Source organism: Homo sapiens, chromosome 2 (assembly GCF_000001405.40).
Source record: "Homo sapiens chromosome 2, GRCh38.p14 Primary Assembly".
Taxonomy (NCBI): domain Eukaryota; kingdom Metazoa; phylum Chordata; class Mammalia; order Primates; family Hominidae; genus Homo; species Homo sapiens.
In genome coordinates, this window is record NC_000002.12 from 182,948,044 (window position 1) to 182,971,951 (window position 23,908).

Sequence of the window (23,908 nt, forward strand, 5' to 3'; positions counted from 1 at the left end):
AATTCCAGAAAATGGAATCCTTACAATTAACCTTGTTTTGAAGAACTAAATGATGAAGGCACAATATTAAAAATATAAATATTTCATAGGAAGCCTTCTGAAAAACATAATCCTTAAATAAGTCAGGATTTAGTATTTGAGAAGCAAAAAAGTAAAAACAAATACCAAAAAATATTACTACAATATTAAATCATTAATAAAATATGGAAGTTATTATGAAGGTAAAATGAAAAGTCAAGTAAGAAAAGAATCACATAGGAGATTACTAGAAAGCTAACATCAAAAGTTTTCAAGAAAAAATGTTTTAACATCCTTAACCATCTTGGTTAAGGATATTTAAAAAGTCAACATTGTTTACAGTCGTTCCGCATTCCCCTAACTTTAAATTTTAATATCTGAGCGAGAATACAGCCACTCCAAAATATAAGAGAGAAATGTTAAAACATAAGCACCTTCCATTTCTTCTCAAGAATGAGAATATATTTGATAACATTCATACTTACAGACAAGGCTAAAATAGTTAAGTTTATAAAATAATTGTTAAAAGACTAGGATAAAATCTGTACTCAAAAAAAGACCCTAGAATAATGGACAATACCTAACAAGATAAACTCTACTAAGAAAAACTACAAAGCATACACTCAGGTCTAAAAATTTCACAAAATATAAGATGTGGAAAGCCATGGTTTAAGGTTAGCATAAGTGAAAAAAAGAGACAATTCATCTGATTGCAAGTTGATTGTGAAAACAGTATGGCATAGCTACCAAATGTGTTCATGCTATCTTAAACTGTGTCAGTAAGTACAGTATCCAGAATAGATAAATGTACTCTCACTCATCACACCTTATCTGAAACTCATTCTTGGTTCAGGGCACTATTCTCTAAGAGTGACAACAAAAAAAACAGAGTTTGTACAGAGGAAGGAGTGAGAAAGATGGCAAAGAGACTGAATATGAATATATTCCACACGAGGAAGAGAAAGATGATACATGAAGGGAAGCAGTTTTTAAATACGTGAAGAGTGATCTCGTCAAAGGCAATCCCTGCCTCTTGATGTAAGAATAAGGACCAATAAAAAATTACTACTTAGATACTAAATCAACATAAACTAGAGATGTACAGTAATTGATAAGATGGCCTCATTTTCAAAAAGACTAGCTAATACATCTAGAAAAATGCAACATGTGCTCCTTCATCAGATAGGAGTAGGTTAGATGACTACTGAGATCCCTCTCAGCTCTACAGGCAGTGTAGCATGGTACTAGCATAATCTGTGGTGCTAGACAGACTGAGTTCAAATTTCAGTTTCACCACTGACTAAAATGTGAGCGTGCGTAAGTTATTTAATCCTTCTTGGCCTCACTTTCCTAATTTGTAAAATAAGGAAAACACCTCTTTTAAAGATGTAAAGGAGTTAATAAGATAAGTGAAGATCTTAGAAAAGTCCTTGAATAAAACAGAGTTAAGAAAGCTGGGGCCAGGCACAGTGGCTCGTGCCTGTAATCCCAGCACTTTAAGAGGCTGAGGTGGGTGGACCATTTGAGCCCAGGAGTTAGAGACCAGCTTGGGCAATATGGCGAAACCCTGTCTCTACAAAAAATTAGCCGTACTTGCTGGCACATGCCTGTAGTCCCAGCTACTCAGGAGGCTGAGGTGACAGAATCGCCTGAGCCCAGGGGGGCCAAGCTGGCAGTGAGTCATGATCACACCACTGCACTCCAGCCTGGGTGACACAGCAAGACTCTGTCTCCAACAAATAAACAAACAAAGCTAGCTATTTTTATTTTTGCATCCAACAAATATTTACTAAGTGCCTAATATGTGTTAGGTCTGCAGCAAGGTTTTAACAGAGTTTAGAACTGCATTTATACTCTAGTGAGAGTGACATGAACAAATACACTGCATGAGAGGTCACAATTAAGATACACATACAGCTGAATGAAGAGAATAAAAAGTGATGTTTGCTATTTTAGAAAGCTTGGTCAGGAAGGACATTCTGATACGGTGACATATGAAAAATACATGAATGTCACGAACAGGCAAGTTATGACCATGTCTTAGTGAAGGGTAGTTTGAAATGACACAACAGCAATCAGGCCAGCCATGCTAGAAAAGTGAAGGAGGAAGGAAAAGCAGAAGGCCAGATCCTTGCAGTATTAAGGAACTGTTCATATAAATGAATTCAGAGAGACTCAAAATAGGCTAATTTTTATTACCATACCATGATACTGTATCCATCAAATTAAATAACAAAAAAGCAAAAAATAATACAGATAATTCTAGAAGTGCCTAGTTTATTCAGTCTGAAATAAAAAATAGCTGGCTAAAGTAAAATTTCAGAGCCATAATTCTTCTATTATCTCATACTGAAGGAACACAAGAAAAAAAATTGGAGATGAGAAATTTCTTATTTGAGAACAGTAGGATAGAAAAAAATTATGTATTTACAGCAGAATTAGTCTAATAAATAAGAATGATACTGCTTGTAAAGAACCAAGACCAGCATTTCAATGTTTGTATATTTACAACCATATAAAGTTTATAAACTTTATATTTTAAGCCATCTAAAAGTTGACTTTTATACAATAATTGCAGAAAACTTTAAAAATAACAATGAGAGGATAATGATACAATGAATACTAAAATAACAGACATTATGCTGAGTACCTAAAAGCTTGACATGCATGATCTCATAAAATTCTCTCAAAGTACAAGCTTAAACATTTGTCCGAAATCAAAGCTTGTAAGTGACAGGTCTGAAATTCAGGAAAGTCTAACTTGAAAGCTTGAGTTTTTTCTTTTTTTTGAGACAGAGTCTCACTCTGTCATGCAGGCTTGAGTGCAGTGGTGTGATCTCAGCTTACTGCAACCTCCGCCTCCCGGGTTCAAGTGATTCTCCTGCCTCAGCCTCCCTAGTAGCTGGGATTACAAGTGCCCACCACCACACCCAGCTAATTTTTGTATTTTCAGTAGAGGGGGGATTTCACCATGTTGGCCAGGCTGGTCTTGAACTCCTAACTTCAGGCAATCCCCCACCTCGGCCTCCCAAAGTGCTGGATTACAGGCATGAGCCACCACGCCTGGCTGAAAGCTTGAGTTCTTAACCAATGGGTAATATTGCCTCTCCTTAAATCTTTGATTATACTAAGCTTTTAGTCACACTGACTCTTGCTATTTATTCACTCAGCAAAATACTATTAAGTTTGTGGAAATTAACTTGTTCTATATATTTGCTCAATTTTCAGTAAATCAGATTAACCACATTTAGAACTCTATGTGCTACATCTGAACTGTAAGCTACTTACCACTACCGTCTATCATTTTCTTAAGAAACTAAAAATTGGCCAGGCACGGTGGCTCATGCCTGTAATCCCAGCACTTTGGGAGGCCGAGGTGGGTGGATCTCTTGAGGTCAGGAGTTCGAGACCAGCCTGGCCAACACGGTGAAACACCGTCTCTACTAAAAATACAAAAATAAGCCAGGCTTGGTGGTGCGTGCCTGTAGTCCCAGCTACTTCGGAGGTGGAAGTTGCAGTGAGTTGAGATTGTGCCACTGTACTGCAGCCTGGGCAACACAGTGAGACTCCATCTCAAAAAAAAAAAAAAAACAAACAAACAAAAACTAAAATATCAAGACTCAAGTAACCACCAAAAAGCTTTTACGAAGAAAATGTTTATTTTAAAACATGATTTCTCTATTCTGCTTGTAAGTTCAAAAGTTTTGGTGGCCCAAGTTCAAATTCTTTCAAAAACTACATAGTTATTATATATACAGATTCGTTTAATATAAATCACCGTAGCTGTAGGATATTTCTAAAAGGCTAATAAAAAGGTATTTAAAATGTTGTTGCTTCAGTTCCTTTACATCTTTACTGAAACATTAAGCATTCTGAAGGCATTTTTCATTCAACTTAGAGGGCATAAGATAATTTAAAAGATTACCTAAGAAAAAGCAATAAGCCCAGTAATTTTTGTATTATAATCTATGGAAAGCAAATACATTCAAACCGCAAGTGTGAACAAATTGTTAACTTTGGCTGGAATTTTGAAGCTGGTATTTCAAAGAAAACATCATGATTCAATACTATGAAGGCCTGACCACAAGCCAAAGACTCTGAGGTTCTGTCCCCTTTACCAAGTCAATTCACCTATTTTCGCTTTCCATTTTCTCACCTACAAAATAGAGAAAACTAAACTAAGATGCCATAAAAAGGCCTTGCTAGCTATTTAATTTTCATTTTCATATTAGTACTTTCATGTTGGATTAAAATAATTAACATTGTAGGCTTGTTGCTCATATCCCTGAAATGTTTTTCAGGAATTAATGTTTAAAAGCTAAAATTAATAAAGACTATATTACCTTAAGTTCAGCAACTTGTGATGAAATATGCCACATAAGGCTTTCACTTAGAAACTTCATACCATATGGGCCTAGTAGTTCTGATAATGACCTCATTTCTGAAAGAAAACATACTTAATTTTATACTTCCGACAGAGCAAATACTTTAAGAAAATGAACATTAACACAATACAACATCTCATTATAAAAACTAATGTAAAATCCTGATAAAAGTCTCTAGAGTGAAAGAGAGAATACAAAATGCAAAAGTAATTCTAAGATACAATATGCAGTTACGCATATAATTGAATGAAATAGTCACAACAGAATCAAAAGTCTAAAGAATCAAGACACTAGCAAAAGAATTAAGTGTTCTTCATTCTCTAAACTGTGGTATAGTACTATTCACCTGATATGTCAGAATATTCCTCTGCATTGAATGTTAATTCATTTTCTGTAGGTAAGTTCACAAACGCTTTCATTGCAGGAAAATATGCTATATGGCCATTGCTGACTTGTCGTAACAAAGTTTCCAAATACCTAAGGAGAAACGTAAACTTATAACCGGAAGAAACTGCTTAATTCAGAATGTATCATGATATACATTCCTGCATATAATTTTAAGTTGACTGATAATATGAATAAGTACTTATTCACAAAAAAATTAATTTTCCTAAGTACTTCATTACAAATTTTCCGCTACTACAAATTTCTAAATGCATTCCTTACCAATTTGTGTATAGACTTGTAATGGTTGGCTCTCCATGACTGTCTAAATGTTGTGTTTGTTGAAGAAGCACATTATTAAATACTCTTGTAATATCAATCTGCACATAGTTTTCTATTGACTGGAGTACGGTCATGTATGCTCTTACACTTGTTAGAAGTTCTGAAGGTTTTGCAATTTCCTGTGTGGCTTGATTATACATAGTCATCCCAACAATTGACCTGGGAAGAAGGGATAGAAGAATAAGAAAAGCCTCTGACTTTTCCATTCATGTAAAATAAACCACTCAACCTACTGTTATCTAATATTAAACAAGCAATAAAATTAACTTTAAAAATAATTTATTACAAAGCTGTAAAATTACTGTCATTATCTTCCCAGGAAACAGCGTAAAAAAAGAATGAAGGCCGGGCATGGTGGTTCACGCCTATTGTAATCCCAGCATTTTGGGAGGACGAGGCGGGCAGATGACTTGAAGTCAGGAGTTCGAGACCATCCTGGCCAACATGGTGAATCCTTGTCTCCACTAAAAATACAAAAATTAGCTGGGCCTGGCACATGCCTGTAATCCTGGCTACTTGGGAGGTTGAGACAGGAGAATCGCTTGAACCCAGCAGGCAGAGGTTGCAGTGAGCTGAGATTGCACCACTGCACTCCAGCCTGGGCAACAGAGTGAGACTGTCTTAAAAAAAAAAGAAAAAAGAAAACTTAAAAACTACAACGAAATGTGAATAAAATGATTAAAAACATTCTAAGTATACCAGTAACAAAAGTGATTTAAGTATAAAGAGGGTTTTACAAATTGCTTTAACATGGTAAGTTGTTTGTAGCAAGGACAGTGAACTATTTAGTCTACAGCTTGAATTTATTTGACACTGTTAGGTGCCAGTAGTTTTTGAGGCTTTATATAAATTACCTACAATCCTCACATTTAATAAACACCTACAATGTACTTATCACTATATCTCCCAGAGGAAAAAAATAAAGCTCAGGACTCACATAAATTGATAAGGTTTTGTTGGGAAGTGGTTATGACTAGGATTTGACCGCAGATCTGCCTGACTTAGTGCTGCCTCTAAACAAACTGTATGACAGTCAAACAAAATAAGGCAACAAACAACTTTATTTTCTTTAATCACTCATAGCATATAAAACAGTTCTGTTTATATCTCAAGAAACTGTATACGACTAAAAAGGAAACACAAATTTTGAAAATACTTCCCTAAATGATCTTATCCTACACTGACCACCCCTATTTCACTTTCTTTAAAACTCCCTGAGCATTAGATCTGTAAAGATCTTAGACTTGTATTTGTAAGGATGAATCCTTAAAAGACAACCGACAAATCCCATCACTAGAAACAGGCCAAGAAGAGCCAACGCAAGATGAAAACTGCTATCCTAGTGTATAATCCCTAAGTCCTAAGACTGTGCTCAGTTGATTGACAAAAACCAACCCACTAATATTCACAAGCTATCTGGCTGGCCAATATGGCGAAACCCCGTCTCTACTAAAAATACAAAAATTAACCAGGCACAGTGGCACACGCCTGTAGTCCCAGCTACTCGGGAGGCTGAGGCAGGAGAATTGCTTGAACTTGGGAGATGGAGGTTGCAGTGAGCTGAGATTGTGCCACTGCACTCCAGCCTGGACGAAAGAACAAAACTCCGTCTCAAAATAAATAAATAAATAAATTAAATAAAATAAAAAATCTTTCCAAGGTAAACAAGCTGTTCCCCTTGCCTTGATCCTAATCACTAAGTAGATGTTTGGTTAAAAAAAAAACTGCTTCTCTGTGGATTAACAAAGCAGACTGTTTACAAGGAAAACAAGGGAGCTGTACACTGAACTCTCCCTTCCACCCACCAATGTCCCACCTCTAACCCACTTGAGAATAATAAACACCACAAGGCACAATGCCCCTTTGGTCTAAGTTCTAGGGCATTCTGGGTTTTACTGTCAGGATGCCTGACTTACTAAGGAGAACAAAAGACAGTTCATCACCAGACTCTTCTCAAGTCAACTGATAATTTAACACTCAACTTAGTGCCACTTTATATACTGTCATATTCTGTTCTCTAATTCTTTTAGTCATCTCACCAGCTACAGTTCTATCTTTATCTCATTATTACCTAGAGTACTTAACACATTGTTAAGCATATAGTGCAAATACAAACACCACCTGTTAATGACTACAGAAACTTTGAAAACCTTTTGGCAAAATTTTGTTTTATAAATTGCTTCAAGGCTTTGAAGAAAAAAATTGTCAAATAAATAAAAATTTTCATGAATAAATATTAATAAATAAGGATGTAACTTCAGAAAAAGGTTAAAACAATATATATAAAGTTGAAAGGTTTCTGACTTATCAATGCACTATTTCATATACATACATAAAATATATATTCATATATAACAGGAAATTCTAATTAGAATTGAGAATTCAAGAATCTAGAATTCTATTGGCTTATTTAACAGCAACATGTGAATTCAGAAAACATGTAAGGGTTCATCTAGTCCTCAGGTCTTCAAACATTTTACTGTGACCTACTGCATGACACGCATCTTAACACTGCAAGTCAATACACATGCATACATGTAACTGAAACATTTCACGAAGCAATATATATATTTAATGCACACAGTGTACTGGGTTTTTTTTCCTATTTTTTCTTCCTCTTGTCCTTTCTTTCCCTCCCACTTTTCTCTAAACTTTGACTACAACCTAATAAACTGATTTCATGAACCTACTGGGTTGCCACCTGCAAGATGAAATACATTGATTTGCTCCAATATTCTCACTTTGTATATAAGGAAGCTATGACTCAGAGATATTAACTGGTTTGCCTGGTGTTACTAGTTAATACTAATAGGTATGAGAAAAGAATCTGGGTATCTTCAGTAATTTTCAGTTCACTATTCTTTGCATTTCCCAGTTCATTATTCTTGAGACAGAGTCTTGTTCTGTCACCCAGGCTGGAGTGCAGTGGCATGATCTTGGCTCACTGCAAGTGTGTCTCCCGGGTTCACGCCATTATCTTGCCTCAGCCTCCCGAGTAGCTGGGACTACAGGTGCCCACCACCACGCCCAGCTAATTTTTTGTATTTTTAGTAGAGACGGGGTTTCACTGTGTTAGCCAGGATGGTCTCGATCTCCTGACCTCGTGATCTGCCCACCTCGGCCTCCCAAAGTGCTGGGATTATAGGCGTGAGCCACCACGCCCGGCCCGGTTCATTATTCTTAACACTAATCCAGTTCTACTAATGCTTTTCCTTATAAAACACTGTATAATTAAATAACAAACTCATTACTGAGTCAACAAACAAAAACAGTCAATATTCTTTCTTACTTGGTAAAGCGTATTTCCAGATGAGAAGTCAAATATTCTCGTGGGGTAAAGGTATGTTCCCATACCACCATGTTTGGTACATAATTTATAGAGAAGCATAACTCAGAAAGTGCAGTGTGCAATTTATCAAGGCTGAAAAAAATTAATAAACAGTTAAAATGTTCACATGTCATCACAGGCAATACAAAATTAATTTTATAAATATATCAACCTTATTTGGAGATAATGCTTAGAGAATTCGACTTTTTATTCTCCTAAACTGAGAAAGTTCAAAATCTTTAAGGTTATAACTAACACATAAGAGCAATATTCTAAAGATGGCGTCATTTGTTTCTACCTTTAGGTAGTAATGAATATACTGACTTAATATACAAAGGTAGAGCTTATTCTGCACTCATAAAGATAATCACGCCCAATTCCTGAAGTACTTTCTGTTATGAGAGAAGGAAAGTTGTCTATAAAAGGGCAATGGCTTGCTCAATTTAGCAAGAAAGTAGGAACTATACTTTAAACAAAAAATATTTACCGAATTATTACCCACCTACACCTCCCCTCCAAACAATGAAGCAAGCAAAGATCCCTGAATGCTACCTGGTCTGTTATTTCTGTTTTATAATAATGACATTGGGTATGTTCTAATATATCAAAAACATGCCAAAATAAAGTCTCCACTATCTAACTTTAAATAAATTAAAAATTACAGATTGCTTATAATGTAACACACAAAATTTTTTAAACATATAATTGGCCTTCAGTACTTAGTATAAAAAGACAAATATCAACTATTACATATATTTTCTTCTAAAGGCCAAAATCTGTATTTTGAGATGAAATAAGCAACTAACAGGTTAATTAAGCTCAGAAATATTTTTTAAAATGGCTGGAAAATGAAGAATATACAATTATTAGCATTTCCTCAGTACTAATGTCAATAGAAAAAAATGAAATAAATATTTTACCTGGAGCAAAAAGGTATAATATAAGTGGATACTTACTTGGTCACAACCAGCCTGTTTTTCCTCATGCTCTCAACACCTGGTTTCTCCCTTTCAGGTTCCCCTTTCTTACCAGTCTGCTTTTTTGATTTCTTATTCACTGCTTGACTGATAGTTTTGGCACAATGCTTGGGTAGCAACTAAATTTAGAAAAGAATGAAATCTTACATTACACCAATTACTCTGAAAGCATACTAACTATTCAAGCAAACAGTAGCTGAATCCAGGCTGTGTTGCAAATATCACAACAATATTAAAAGACAGAAATATAAGTGAGATACAGAGCTTACTTAGCTAGCTTGGGTAATGCACATAGCTTGGTGAAAACAGAAACGGGTAGATCTTGGGTAAATCTTGTGTGAAGAAACACGTCATAGAGTAAATTCATAGACGCTTATTTAAATTACTATTAAAAAGACAAGTAAAAACATACCAGGCAAGCAAGGAATGAAAAAGAATATTTCACTGGAAGGATTAAATGGCCTTTGGAAAAAAACTGTGTAAAGATATGATGGTTCAGAGCTGTAGTTAGAACTACTATGTGGTGGAGCATAACGTGTAAGGTAAAGTACAGAGGTTTCAACTATTAGGAAGGGCCTTGAATGCCAAGCTAGAGGTTGGATTGTAAACTGCAGGCAAAAAGACAGCGACAATTTTTTAAAATAGCCACAGCATGAGGAGACATTTTCTTTTCTTTTCTTTTCTTTTGAGAAGGAGTTTCACTCTTGTTGCCCAGGCTGGAATGCAATGGCACAATCTCAGCTCACTGCAACCTCTGCCTCCTGGGTTCTCCTGCCTCAGCCTCCTGAGCTGCTGGGACTACAGTCGACTGCCACCACACCCAGCTAATTTTATTTGTATATTTTTAGTAGAGATGGGGTTTCGCCATGTTGGCCAGGCTGGTCTCGAACTCCTGACCTCAGGAGATCCACCTGCCTCGGCCTCCCAAAGTGCTGGGATTACAAGCGTGAGCCACCATGCCTGGCCATGAAGAGGTAATTTTCTAAGGATAACTCTGATATTGGCAGAAGAAAACACTGAAAAAGGAAAATTGTAACAGAGCTGCTAGAAATAGTTCAGACAAGGCATGAAAAAGGGATATGAAATAGGCAAGTGTAATAAAAAAATTTTAATGGGCAGATCTGAGACAGACTTCTGAGATAAAATTGAAAGGATTCAGTAACTTAGATGTGTGAGAGAAGCAGGAATCAAGTATGACACAGAGGTTTCTACCTAACACATTGTTAAGACCAATAATTAAAACAAAAAAACCACACAGGTACAAATCAGAAATAATTGATTTCACTTGACAGGTAACAAAGCAGGCAAATGAGAAATAAGAAATAACATTTTAGGTAGAAGGAGAGCTTCACTGTACATTACAGTAGCCACATGTGAAATGTGCCCAGTCCAAATTCAGCTGTGTTATAAGATAAACACCAGATTTCAAAGATTTAGTATAATAAAAACTATACAATATTTCATTCATATGATTACATGCTGACATAATAACATTTTGGGGTATATAGGGTTGAATCATTGTTTTTAAAATTAGCTTTACCTGTTTCTTTCTAAGTTTTGTGTATGGCTACTACAAAATTTTAAATTACATATGTGGTTTACATAGTATCTCCATTGGACAGAGCTGGGCCAAGGAAAGTTATTTAGTCATTATACCTAGATAGTAACTAAAGCCATGGGATTGGTATTTGGGGAAAAAAATGCATAAGAAATTACATTGCATTTCTATTGTGACAAAGGAGTTCCTTCCTAAAATGAAAATTTCTACGGACATTTGCAACTTCAACAATATTAAAGAGACCAGAGTGTTGAATCTCTATAACACTCTTCACAAGAGACAGAGCTACTAGAAAGGCTGGTACATCTTGTCACACCAGATAACAAGAAAGCTCTCAAATGACTATAAGGACTCCCACAAGCCGGGCTTCATCCCTGGGATGCAAGGCTGGTTCAACATATGCAAATCAATAAATGTAATCCAGCATATAAACAGAACCAACGACAAAAACCACATGATTATCTCAACAGATGCACAAAAGGCCTTTGACAAAATTCAACAGCCCTTTATGCTAAAAACTCTCAATAAATTAGGTATTGATAGGATGTATCTCAAAATAATAACAGCCATCTATGACAAACCCACAGCCAATATTATACTGAATGGGCAAAAACTGGAAGCACTCCCTTTGAAAACCAGCACAAGACAGGGATGCCCTCTCTCACCACTCCTATTCAACACAGTGTTGGAAGTTCTGGCCAGGGCAATCAGGCAGGAGAAGGAAATAAAGCGCATTCAATTAGGAAAAGAGAAAGTCAAATTGTCACTGTTTGCAGGGGACATGATTGTATATCTAGAAAACCCCATTGTCTCAGCCCAAAATCTCAAGCTGATAGGCAACTTCAGCAAAGTCTCAGGATACAAAATCAATGTGCAAAAATCACAAGCATTCTTATACACCAATAACAGACAGAGAGCCAAATCATGAGTGAACTCCCATTCACAATTGCTTCAAAGAGAATAAAATGCCTAGGAATCCAACTTACAAGGGACGTGAAGGACCTCTTCAAGGAGAACTACAAATCACTGCTCAATGAAATAAAAGAGGATACAAACAAATGGAAGAACATTCCATGCTCATGGGTAGGAAGAATCAATATCGTGAAAATGGCTACACTGCCCAAGGTAATTTATAGATTCAATGCCATCCCCATCAAGCTACCAATGACTTTCTTCACAGAATTGGAAAAAACTACTTTAAAGTTCATATGGAACCAAAAAAGAGCCCGCATTGCCAAGTCAATCCTAAGCCAAAAGAACAAAGCCGGAGGCATCACGCTACCTGACTTCAAACTATATTACAAGGCTACAGTAACCAAAACAGCATGGTACTGGTACCAAAACAGAGATATAGACCAATGGAACAGAACAAAGCCCTCAGAAATAATGCCGCATATCTACAACCATCTGATCTTTGACAAACCTGAGAAAAACAAGCAATGGGGAAATGATTCCCTATTTAATAAATGGTGCTGGGAAAACTGGCTAGCCATATGTAGAAAGCTGAAACTGGATCCCTTCCTTACACCTTATACAAAAGTTAATTCAAGATGGATTAAAGACTTACATGTTAGACCTAAAACCATAAAAACTCTAGAAGAAAACCTAGGCAATACCATTCAGGACATAAGCATGGGCAAAGACTTCATGTCTAAAACACCAAAAGCAATAGCAACAAAAGCCAAAATTGACAAATGGGATCTAATTAAACTAAAGAGCTTCTGCACAGCAAAAGAAACTACCATCAGAGTGAACAGGCAACCTAAAGAATGGGAGAAAATTTTTACAATCTACTCATCTGACAAAGGGCTAATATCCAGAATCTACAATGAACTCAAACAAATATACAAGAAAAACAAACAACCCCATCAAAAAGTGGCTGAAGGATATAAACAGACACTTCTCAGAAGAAGACATTTATGCAGCCAAAAGACACATGAAAAAATGCTCATCATCACTGGCCATCAGAGAAATGCAAATCAAAAACAACAATGAGATACCATCTTACACCAGTTAGAATGGCGATCATTAAAAAGTCAGAAAGCAACAGGTGCTGGAGAAGATGTGGAGAAATAGGAACACTTTTACACTGTTGGTGGGACTGTAAACTAGTTCAACCATTGTGGAAGTCAGTGTGGCGATTCCTCAAGGATCTAGAACTAGAAATACCATTTGACCCAGCCATCCCATTACTGGGTATATACCCAAAGGATTATAAAACATGCTGCTATAAAGACACATGCACACGTATGTCTATTGCAGCACTATTCACAATAGCAAAGACTTGGAACCAACCCAAAGGTCCAACAATGATAGACTGGATTAAGAAAATGTGGCACATATACACCATGGAATACTATGCGGCCATAAAAAATGAGTTCATGTCCTTTGTAGGGACATGGGTGAAGCTGGAAACCATCATTCTCAGCAAACTATCGCAAGGACAAAAAACCAACCACCACATGTTCTCACTCATAGGTGGGAATTGAACAATGAGAACACATGGACACAGGAAGGGGAACATCACACACTGGGGCCTGTTGTGGGGTGGGGAAATTGGGGAGGGATAGCATTAGGAGATATACCTAATGTTAAATGACGAGTTAATGGGTGCAGCACACCAACATGGCGTATGTATACCTATGTAACTAACCTGCACGTTGTGCACATGTACCCTAAAACTTAAAGTATAATAAAAAATAAATAAATAAATAAATAGATGCTTAAAGTTGGAAAGAAAAAAAAAAGGACTCCCACTAGCCAATGACGGGGCAATCTGAGCTTCAATCTGAATTATAAGTACAGTGGATTGAAAATCACCAAATATGCTTAATTCCAGTTCTTTTGCAACTTTCAAGAAATAGCAGAATCAGGTGCTAACACTACACACATGTAAAAACTACACGTGACTCCTGATTAAAGAACACAAACAGTACGTACAGTCTTGCCAGAAAGTTTACATCTAAGAAATTATACCTGTTAATGGAGTTTCACAGCAGAGGTTTGAGGTTTACTAATAGTGTGGGAACTAAAGAATGGAAAGTAAAACAACAACTGGCTAAAAGCACATTTTCTTGCCTTCACACAAAATTTCCTATCTGTTGGAAACACTTAAATCATTACCTGGTCACTAAGGGTACACTGTTCTGTGCAAATATCAGTGATGAGATTTCGAGCTTGTTTGGCCATTTCATCTAGGAACATATTACATAAGGAAAGACTGCGATCTCCAATATGATGTCGCTGTGAAGGCAGAATAATAATAATAATACAAGTTATAAAGAAAGTACGTTGAATTAAAAAGACTTCTAAATAGACATGGAAAATTAGGCTAAAGGTACATTCCGCAATAGTGAGGGTGGGAGATGTTAAAAATTGCTTTTGCCTCTTGTAACAACTAACTCACCATACTGTATTTGAACATAAATGACAAAGTATTTGGTGATTGTGAAAGCAATGTATAACTGGGAGGAGTCTTGAAAAATCAGTATTTTGCTTAACATGAAAAACTATGTATTTAATTTTCAAATTCCACAAAGTCCTATATCCAGTTCTTAAATGTTAAAATATTAAACATATAATGTGAAAGCAAACAGATTTAGAGTACTGTTTCCAATCTTATTTCATTTAAAATCTGTGTCTCTATAAATGTATAAATTGTGGCATAACTTTGTATAAACAGGAAAGAAGAGCTCAAATGTTTAAATAAAATGGTGAGAAATCAATTTGGTAATAGAAAGTCCAAGGCATTCAAATCTCTAAAATCAAACCCTATTGCTCCCAGGAAGAAAAAAAAAAAAAACGCTGATCATGCATCCATCTCTACAGGATTCTCTTTTTAGTTTTAGTGGGCTGCAATCGTTTGATTGTTTTTTTCTTATCTATGGTAACTGGAATGTTGAGTATAAAACACTGTAAATTTTTGCACTACACATTTCTAATACTTTACAAAGAAATAAAATTTTTAACAGTTTTCCTGCCCTGACCTTCCATAATCATATATGTAGAGCTTACATACAGTATTTATATGATGAAATAAGTGTAAAATACATAAAATATAAAAATACTTGAGCATAGAAAATAACTTTTCCTAGATCTATTATATCTAACGTATTTTATTTAAAATGCCCTGTAAAACTTTAATAGAAAGTCAAATCAAAAAAAAGATTTACAACCTGATATAATTAAATATTGGTTCACCTTAGGAAAGATTTCAATTAATAAACAGTGTTTTGTTTAATCAAATTCTGACTTCTGAAAGACATAAATCTTCTGCTATTAATTCTTCCTGAAAAAAGAATACTGAATTAAGACTGCTCAAATTTGTTCTTTACAGATACTAACTTACTTAAAATACAAATCTGATTTCACTACTCCGTTTCAACAGCTCAGAAATGCTGAGATGGAGAAAAACTAAGGTTTAACATGTCATACAAATCTCTCTATTATCTGACCTCTGCCTTTGGCTACGGTGCCAAGAATAAAGTTTAGGAGAACAATGGCAGAAGCAAAGAGACCACTTAGGTAATCCAGGCAAAGATGAACTCCATTTAGAGTACATATGAAGAGTATCGTAAATCTGAACTGTAATAATGACAATAGCAATGGAAAGTAGAGGATGGATTCAAGACATGACATATAAATAAAATTAGAAGGATTTTATGGGTAATTTAATGAAAAGAAATTTGATGGTGAGCAAACAGTTAATAATACATCTCAGGTGTCAAGTTTGGGAGAAAAAAATCTATTAAATCTAAAAAATTCATAAATCTATTAAAATTCGTGGTATTAATATCCTCATAGGTAGAAATTCTGAAAGTATTCCCTAATAAACTTCCTGTAAGCTAACTTCTGTCTCAAAGTTGGCTTCCCCTGGAATACTGGCATACAATCTGCAACAGATGTTGTCTAATGCTTAAAGAAACTGACCATGTTCCTGCTATCTCTAAGTTTCTTTTCTACAAGTTCTGCAATTTTAAGTAAAGGGACTAAACACTAAGTTAAATTATAATAAAGAAATACATTATTTAATCTTTATATTTTTATCACATAGAAAATATTTCTTCTTTAAAGATTAGAAGAAACACTGAGTACATTTTTCACAGATACTTGGCATCAACAAAACTACCAAGCAGTTCAATTACTCTGCAACTGTGTGTGTGTATGCACATGCATGTATGTATCCCACAAGTATCACAAAATCTGGATTTTGCTTAATATATTTATTAACAATTTAGTAATAATAAGTTAGTGAATCTCTCTTTGACTTGTTTATGCTTATTCAGTAATCCATAAATTTAATTTTCGAGTCCTTTCCATGACAGTTTAAGAGGAAAATTAAGTATACAAAATCAATTACTATATAAATCTTTTCCACAGATATTAATACCTGACCCACCATTTATCTTAAAAAAGGTAATTCCAAGTGACTTTATGGTATGTTCTTATTATACTTATGTTTATTTATCTATATATATATTAAACCTATGTATCTGTTCAAGCACTTTTCTGATTCTGCATAGAGATGTATTCGATGGGAAGCTAAGTTAGCTAATTATGACTGTAAATATTTGGTTGGCTACAGGTTTGATCTAGTTTACTTTGCATACCATATAACTCACAGTAGTACACTATAATTACCTCTTCTGGACATAGTTCATGCGTGCAACTCATAAAATGAGTGCAAAGTAGTGGAAATGCAATTGAGTATCTTGATTGAGAGGGTAACTCCAAACACTGTTGAAACATCTTCTCAAAAGCACGACTATAAAAACTATATAAACAAAAATCAGAATCACAATTTTTACATTTAAAGTAAGTTTTCTGATATAGTACCTTACAGTTAATTTGATTCAAGTGAATGAATGATAACTGGTAGCACTGATTTAAGAAGAGAATATTTTTCCCCCAAAGTATCTTTTACACACCAATAATTATCCCAGAGTAATAAAAATATTATTTATATAACAATAACAACATTTTAAAAAATAATAAACCATAATCTATGGCCTCTTACATAATCAAATTTCATCAAAGCTAAGTCACTATAAATAGGAAAAAATACCATTATTATGGCTGGGTGTGGTGGCTCACACCTATAATCTCAGCACTTTGGGAGGCCAAGGCAGGTGGATCACTGGAGCCCAGGAGTTTGAGACCAGCCTGGGCAATGTGGTGAAACCCTGTCTCTATTTTTAAAAAATAAATTAAAAAAAGAGAGAAATATTTTATGAACCACTAAGAAAAAAAAAACATTGCCAATTAAATAATCACACGCCATCAATTTTATTTTTTTTTTTAACTTTTTTTAGACGGGGGACACTTTGTTGCCCAGGCTGGAATGCAGTGGCACAATCACAGTTCACTGCATCCTTAACCTCTTGGGCTCAAGCAATCCTCCATCTCGGCCTCCCATGGTGCTGAAATTGCGGGTGTGAGCCATGGCACCCAGCCTGCCAGCAGTTTTAATTTGCATCCACATTTAAAGATGTTAAATCTAAATGTAAAAGAATGTGAGTCAATAAAACACTACATATCTTAGAGTAATAAGACAAACAGAAGTAGTAAACATTTCTTTATTTTGGATGTGACAGGCAAAAATAGAATGCAACTATGAAAAAATATAAATAAAATTCAGGTATGACTGAAAATTACAAATTTCAAACATTATTCAAAGTGCTTTTAGTTCCAAGAAAGGGGATATGACTTTCTAATTGTTGTATTCTTCTTTTGGAATAGGATCCTTTGCATAGCTGAAAATATCTAAACATATAATGTTTCATGTTCTACCTAAGGTAGACTTTGTGCCAGACAGACAGTAGTCCTGGGCTCCACATAATCTTAAAAATTCTTGCAAATTTGACCTGTGATGTGCCTAAATCTAAAAAGTATACTTCCTAATGTGTTTCATTATTTCCTTTAAGAGGCATGGTTTCTCTACCTGGTGATTTGAATTTCTTCTGCAATACTGCTAATTCAAGCTTTCCTAACAAACTGCCAAAATCAACACAGATTATACTATTTTCCAAAATAAATGCAGTGAGAAGCTTTTCATGATGATCTCTATCCCATACATAGAAACTACTATCACTATCCACTGAGATCATTTCAGCATTTTAGAAATCAAGAGACATACTAGGTTATTCCAGTCCTCTTCCCTAAAGGAAAATAAAGGGCCAAGAAGCAGAAAATAGAGTTGATATTATATAGCTTGAGGCGAGAATTCTTGATTTTGAATCCTAACCCCACTGTTATGTATTTATTTATTTATGAGACAGTCTCACTCTGTCACCGAGACTGGAGTGCAGTGGCGTGATCTTGGCTCACTGCAACCTCCGCCTCCCAGGTTCAGGCGATTCTCCTGCTTCAAGCCTCCCAAGTAGCTGGGACTACAGGCACACACCACCACGTCCGACTAATTTTTCTATTTTCAGTAGAGATGGGGTTTCACTATGTTGACCAGGCTGGTCTCAAACTCCTGACCTCAGGTGATTCACCCACCTCGGCCTCCCAAGTGTTGGGATTATAGGCGTGAGCCACCGCGCCTGGCCACCACACTGTTTATCAATCTGATCACAACTAAGTTGACTTATTCATTCAAAGATTTATTAAATAACTACTATGACAGACACTAACAAAACAAATTATAGCCATTAAGGACCACATTTTCTGGGAGGAAGAGAGGGAAGAAAAATAAACTAAGTATAACAAAAAGACTCTAACAGAAAAAGAGAATGAAGCACAATGCAGGAGGTAGTCACCACATCATCTTCATATTAATGTTTAATTTTACATCATAGAAGTGAAGTTACCAGGCATTTAATTTCCAACACTTGCTCTATTTGACCTTGATCTACAACATTTCTTTCCCTTTAGTCTAATCATGCAAAGAAGGGCCTTAAGGTAATTTGGAGTGACTGTTTTCAACTCCTCAAAAAAATGTAAGAAATAAAAGTCACATCAGTAAGTTGCTCTTTTAGAGAATTAAAAACAGACATAAAATCCCAACTTGGTTAAACTTCTTTTTGTTGGCACATTTTAATAAAAGTCCACTATTCCCTTTATTCTTAAGGATCTATTACTGAACTGTCTTAAGGACTATGCTAACACAAAAATAATCAAGAAACATATATCGCATACTAAAACTTTCAAATCCAGATTTAGAGAAAATTACAACATACCAAAATATGGAGAGATCTGATGTTTCCACCAACATTTCCACCAAGGAATCTACCATTTTTGTATGAAAAATTATTGTATTCATCATCTTTCCAAGTTCTCTGTGATCTGCAAGGCCAAGTGAAGCCTTTGAGACACTAGTATATGCCTATAAAGTACAAAAAAAAAAAAGTAGTTCAGGTAAACATAAATGACTTCGGACTTGTCATTTTACAGGGGGAAAAGCATCACTGAAAGATACTTAAACTATCTACTGTGACACTGACAGTAACATCTACTGTGTTAGTTGTCTGTAGTGACCCTACCTTGAAATTCCTATCAAGAATTTATTTAGTAAACTGAAATACTAATGTCCATAAAACAGTGTCTAATATATGAGTCATTCACACTGAACCTCAAAGGAACTGAAGTTAAAATATCAAAAGTGTAAAACAATTAATTGTCATATTAACCATACCAAAAGAAATCTTCGACCTAATTTAAGAGACAAAACACACACAGGAAGCAATCAGATAAAACTAAGTACTGCACATGTTGATTCAATGAGGTTTTAGAGTATACTGATTCACTAAAAACTGGATCATATAATACACTGTATTAATTTGACAAATTCTAGAAAAGTACTGAAGATAGTAAAAATTGGTGTAGTTTGGCCAAAAAAGTGATAGAACTAAACGAAAATCATTAAGATAGGTTGTGGGGAAAAAAATTCTACAACTGGGATACCAAATCACAAAAAGCAGATCATGTCCATGGATAGGGCACATTTCAGAAGGGCAGAGAATAAGAATAGAAGGGATGCCTACAGAATAAGTACTGTTTGTTACGGCTAGAGTTTGAGTGCAAAGAAGAGAAGGGAAATAGTAAAACATGAGATTCAACCAGATGGTGAACAGCCTGTATACCACGTTAAAGAATTTAAACTTTTTAGTGAAGCACTAAGGGTTCTATGTGGTGGCCAGTTTTTGTTTTAGAAAGATTACTCTGTATAGTGAGGAAAATAGGGAAGCATGACTGGGAAGGGAAAGGAAGCAGAAATCTATTAGAAGGCAGTAGTGGCAATAAGACGGCATTACAATGGTCTGGTTTTGAGTAATGGTAGTTTAAAAGAGTTTACTCTGGGAAATAATTAGATATAGTGGGAAACAGAATTATAGATGATGGTCAGGATTTTGGCTGTTGGGAGATACTCCTGCATGGGTCTCATGCTCCCACACACCTTGCTGGGTATGTCAAGAAGGCAAAGCCTGAGCCACTCATTCTCTAGGCCATTTCTTAGGGTTATATTTGCAGCTATCAAATTTGAGGGATGAGGTAATGTCTCCCTTGGAACAAAGAGCAAGTATGCTTACAGCTGATGATAAAATAGAGGGTTCCTCAAATTTAGTGTTCCTTATCTGCAACACAAACAGACTGCATGCACAGAATTCATTTTGGCTCCTCTGTACCACACCTGCAGAGCTTAGGGAAATAGCAGAAATAATGCATATATGCTGATGCCTATGCTGCTTTCTGTGCAGTGAATGAAGTCTTTTGTCTTTTGTCACTGACCCAGGAGCTCCATATCTTCTTGCCAGCATCCATGAAATAGTAAGAGAGTAAATTATCACCTTGTAAGTAGGATAAAAATTAAACCTCAAACCCTACCATGGCAAGGGACCAATAGGTGGATGATGTTACTATTCAATGAGACAGTGACACCACAAAGGAGACTTTTGTATTTTGTTGTTTTTGTCTACCAGAAAAGAAGAAGGAATGAGGTAGAATGATGTCAATATTCTGATGACAAAATATACTTGACATTTATCACAAACTAAGCCTAAGGAGTTTTACTTACCATTTATCAGCTTTAGAGTATAAACAGGAATTAGCTATAGCTGTGGCCATGAATTCAATAAAGAGTTCCATTAACTGTCCCACATTTTTAAAAAGCAGAATTTATTCTTCTCATCAGAACATGGGATAGTCTCCAGGAGAGACCATATGTTAGGCCACAAAACAAAGTTCAACAAATTCAAAAAATTGAAATCATATCAAGTATCTTCTCTGACCACAGTGCAATAAAACTAGAAATCAACAAGAGGAACTTCAGAAACTAACACATGGAAATTAAACAATATGCTCCTGAACAATGTAGAAATTAAGGAAATAAAAAATTTATTGAAACACATTAAAAATAGAAACACGATATACCAAAACCTATGAAATACAGCAAAAACAGTAGTTAAGAGGAAAGTTTATAGCAATAAACACTCATATTAATAAAGTAGAAAGACCAAATAACCTAATAATGTACCTTTAACTTCGGAAACTAACATATGGAAATTAAACAATATGCTCCTGAACAATGTAGAAATTAAGGAAATAAAACATTTATTGAAAGAAATAAAAACAGAAACACGATATACCAAAACCTATGGGATACAGCAAAAGCAGTAGTAAGAGGAAAGTTTATAGCAATAAACACCTATATTAATAAAGTAGAAAGACCAAATAACCTAATAATGTACCTTAAAGAACTAGAAAAGCAAGAATAAACCAAATCCAAAGTTAGCAGAAGGAGATAAGTAATAAAGATCGGAGCAGAAATAAAGAAAATTCAGACTAAAAAGAATACAAAAGATCAACAAAATAAAAAGTTAGTTCTTTGGAAAAATAAAATTGACAAATCTTTAGCTAAATTAAGAAAAAAAGAAAGAAGACCCCAAAAAAATCAGAAATAGAAAAGGAGACATTACAACTGATACCAAAAACTTCCAAGGATTAGAGATTATGAGCAACTATATGTCAAAGAACTGGAAAACCGACATGAAATGGATACATTCCTAGACACATACATCCTACCAAGAAGAAACAGAAAACCTGAAAGGACCAGTAATAAGTAATGAGATAGAAGCAGTAATAAAAAGTCTCCCATGAGAGAAAAGCCTGGGACCTGATGGTTTCACTGCTGAATTCCAGCAAATATTTAAAGAACTAATACCAATTCTACTCAAACTGTTCCAAATAATTGAGGAGGAAGGAATACTTTCAAATACTCATTCTATGAGGCCAGCATTACCCTGATACCAAAACCAGACAAAGACACAAAACTACACGAAAAGAAACTACAGGCCATCATCACTTACGAACATAGATGCAAAAATGCTGAACAAAATACTAGCACACAGAATTCAACAACACACTGAACAGATCATGATCCAGTTAGATAAATACAAGATGGTTCAACATATGCACATAAGGACAAAACTGTATAATTTTAATAGATGCTGAAAATGCATTCAATAAAATTCAACATCTCTTCATAATAAAAACTCTTAACAAACTAGGTAGGGAAGAAAACATAGCTCTTAAAAAACTAGGTATGGAAAAAAACATACCTCTTAACAAACTAGGTATGGAAGAAAACAATAAAGGCCATAGATGATGAACCCGCAGCTAGCAATACACTGAATTGGGGAAAACTGAAAGCATTTCCTGAGATTTGGAACAATACAAGGATGCCTGCTTTCAACACTTTTATTCAACACAGGACTGGAAGTCCTGGCCAAAGCAATTAGACAAAAGACATAAATAAAAGGCATGCAAACTTGAAAAGAAGTCATCAAATTGTCCTTATCTGAAGAAAATATGATATTATATTTACAAAAACCTAAAGACTATTAAAACTGATCAACCAATTCAGTTTCATGACATAAACTCAACATACAAAAATCAGAGGCATTTCCATGTGTCAACAGCAAACACACTGAAAAAGAAATCAAGAAATCTCATTTACAATAACTACCAAAAAAAAAGCCTATGAACAAACTTAAACAAAAAGTGAAAGATCTCTACAATGAAAGCTATAAACATTGATGAAGGAAACTGAAGAAGACACAAAGAGATAAAAAGATATCGGCCGGGCGCGGTGGCTCACGCCTGTAATCCCAGCACTTTGGGAGGCCGAGGCGGGCGGATCACGAGGTCAGGAGATCGAGACCATCCCGGCTAAAACGGTGAAACCCCGTCTCTACTAAAAATACAAAAAATTAGCCGGGCGTAGTGGCGGGCGCCTGTAGTCCCAGCTACTTGGGAGGCTGAGGCAGGAGAATGGCGTGAACCCGGGAGGCGGAGCTTGCAGTGAGCCGAGATCCCACCACTGCACTCCAGCCTGGGCGACAGAGCGAGACTCCGTCTCAAAAAAAAAAAAAAAAAAAAAAAGATATCTCATGTTCATGAATTGGAAGAATTGATATTGCTAAACATACCACCCAAAGTGATCTACAGATTCAATAAACTATCTATCTAAATACCAATGACATTCTTTACAGAAACAGAAAAAATAAATCCTAAAATTCATATGGAACAAACAACAACAAAAAAAAAACTAGAAGAGCCAAATCAATCCTGAAAAGTACAATCCAAAAAGTACAAAGCAGGAGGAATCACATTACTGATCGCAAAATCTACTACAAAGCTATAGTAATCAAAACAGTATGGTGTTGGCATAAAAGCAGATACAAATATCAATGAAACGGAACACAGAACCCAGAAATAAATCCACACATTTACTATTAGCTCATTTCCAACAAAAGTGCCAAGAATATACATTGGGGAAAGGACAGTCTCTTCAATAAATTGTGCTGAGAAAACTGGATATCCACATGTAAAGGAATGAAACTAGACCTCTATCTCTCATCATACAAAAAAAATCAAATCAAAATGAATTAAAGACTTAAATGTAAGACCTGAAACT

The 23,908-nt window shown here is 35.3% G+C and overlaps 1 protein-coding gene across 4 annotated transcripts in view, besides 1 other annotated feature; it reads right to left on the reverse strand.

The window, feature by feature from the left end:
• The window catches only part of NCKAP1 (NCK associated protein 1), a 129,343-nt gene that overhangs the window by 38,929 nt on the left and 66,506 nt on the right, over positions 1-23,908 (reverse strand). For all 4 annotated transcript variants that reach the window (NM_001437266.1, NM_013436.5, NM_001437267.1 and 1 more), the window contains 8 exons: positions 19,173-19,318; positions 16,633-16,765; positions 14,116-14,235; positions 9,414-9,553; positions 8,419-8,550; positions 5,070-5,288; positions 4,750-4,880; positions 4,362-4,459 (listed from right to left, as the gene is read on the reverse strand). In NM_001437266.1, coding sequence (NP_001424195.1) covers positions 4,362-4,459; positions 4,750-4,880; positions 5,070-5,288; positions 8,419-8,550; positions 9,414-9,553; positions 14,116-14,235; positions 16,633-16,765; positions 19,173-19,318 — 1,119 coding nt within the window. The remainder of the gene's footprint in view (positions 1-4,361; positions 4,460-4,749; positions 4,881-5,069; positions 5,289-8,418; positions 8,551-9,413; positions 9,554-14,115; positions 14,236-16,632; positions 16,766-19,172; positions 19,319-23,908) is intronic.
• Positions 1,560-2,059: an enhancer, noted in NCBI's record as "H3K27ac hESC enhancer chr2:183814331-183814830 (GRCh37/hg19 assembly coordinates)". NCBI's record gives its function as "activates a minimal SCP1, AML or CMV promoter by ChIP-STARR-seq in primed H9 embryonic stem cells {active_cell/tissue: H9 hESC(primed)}" and the evidence as "EXISTENCE:reporter gene assay evidence [ECO:0000049][PMID:30033119]".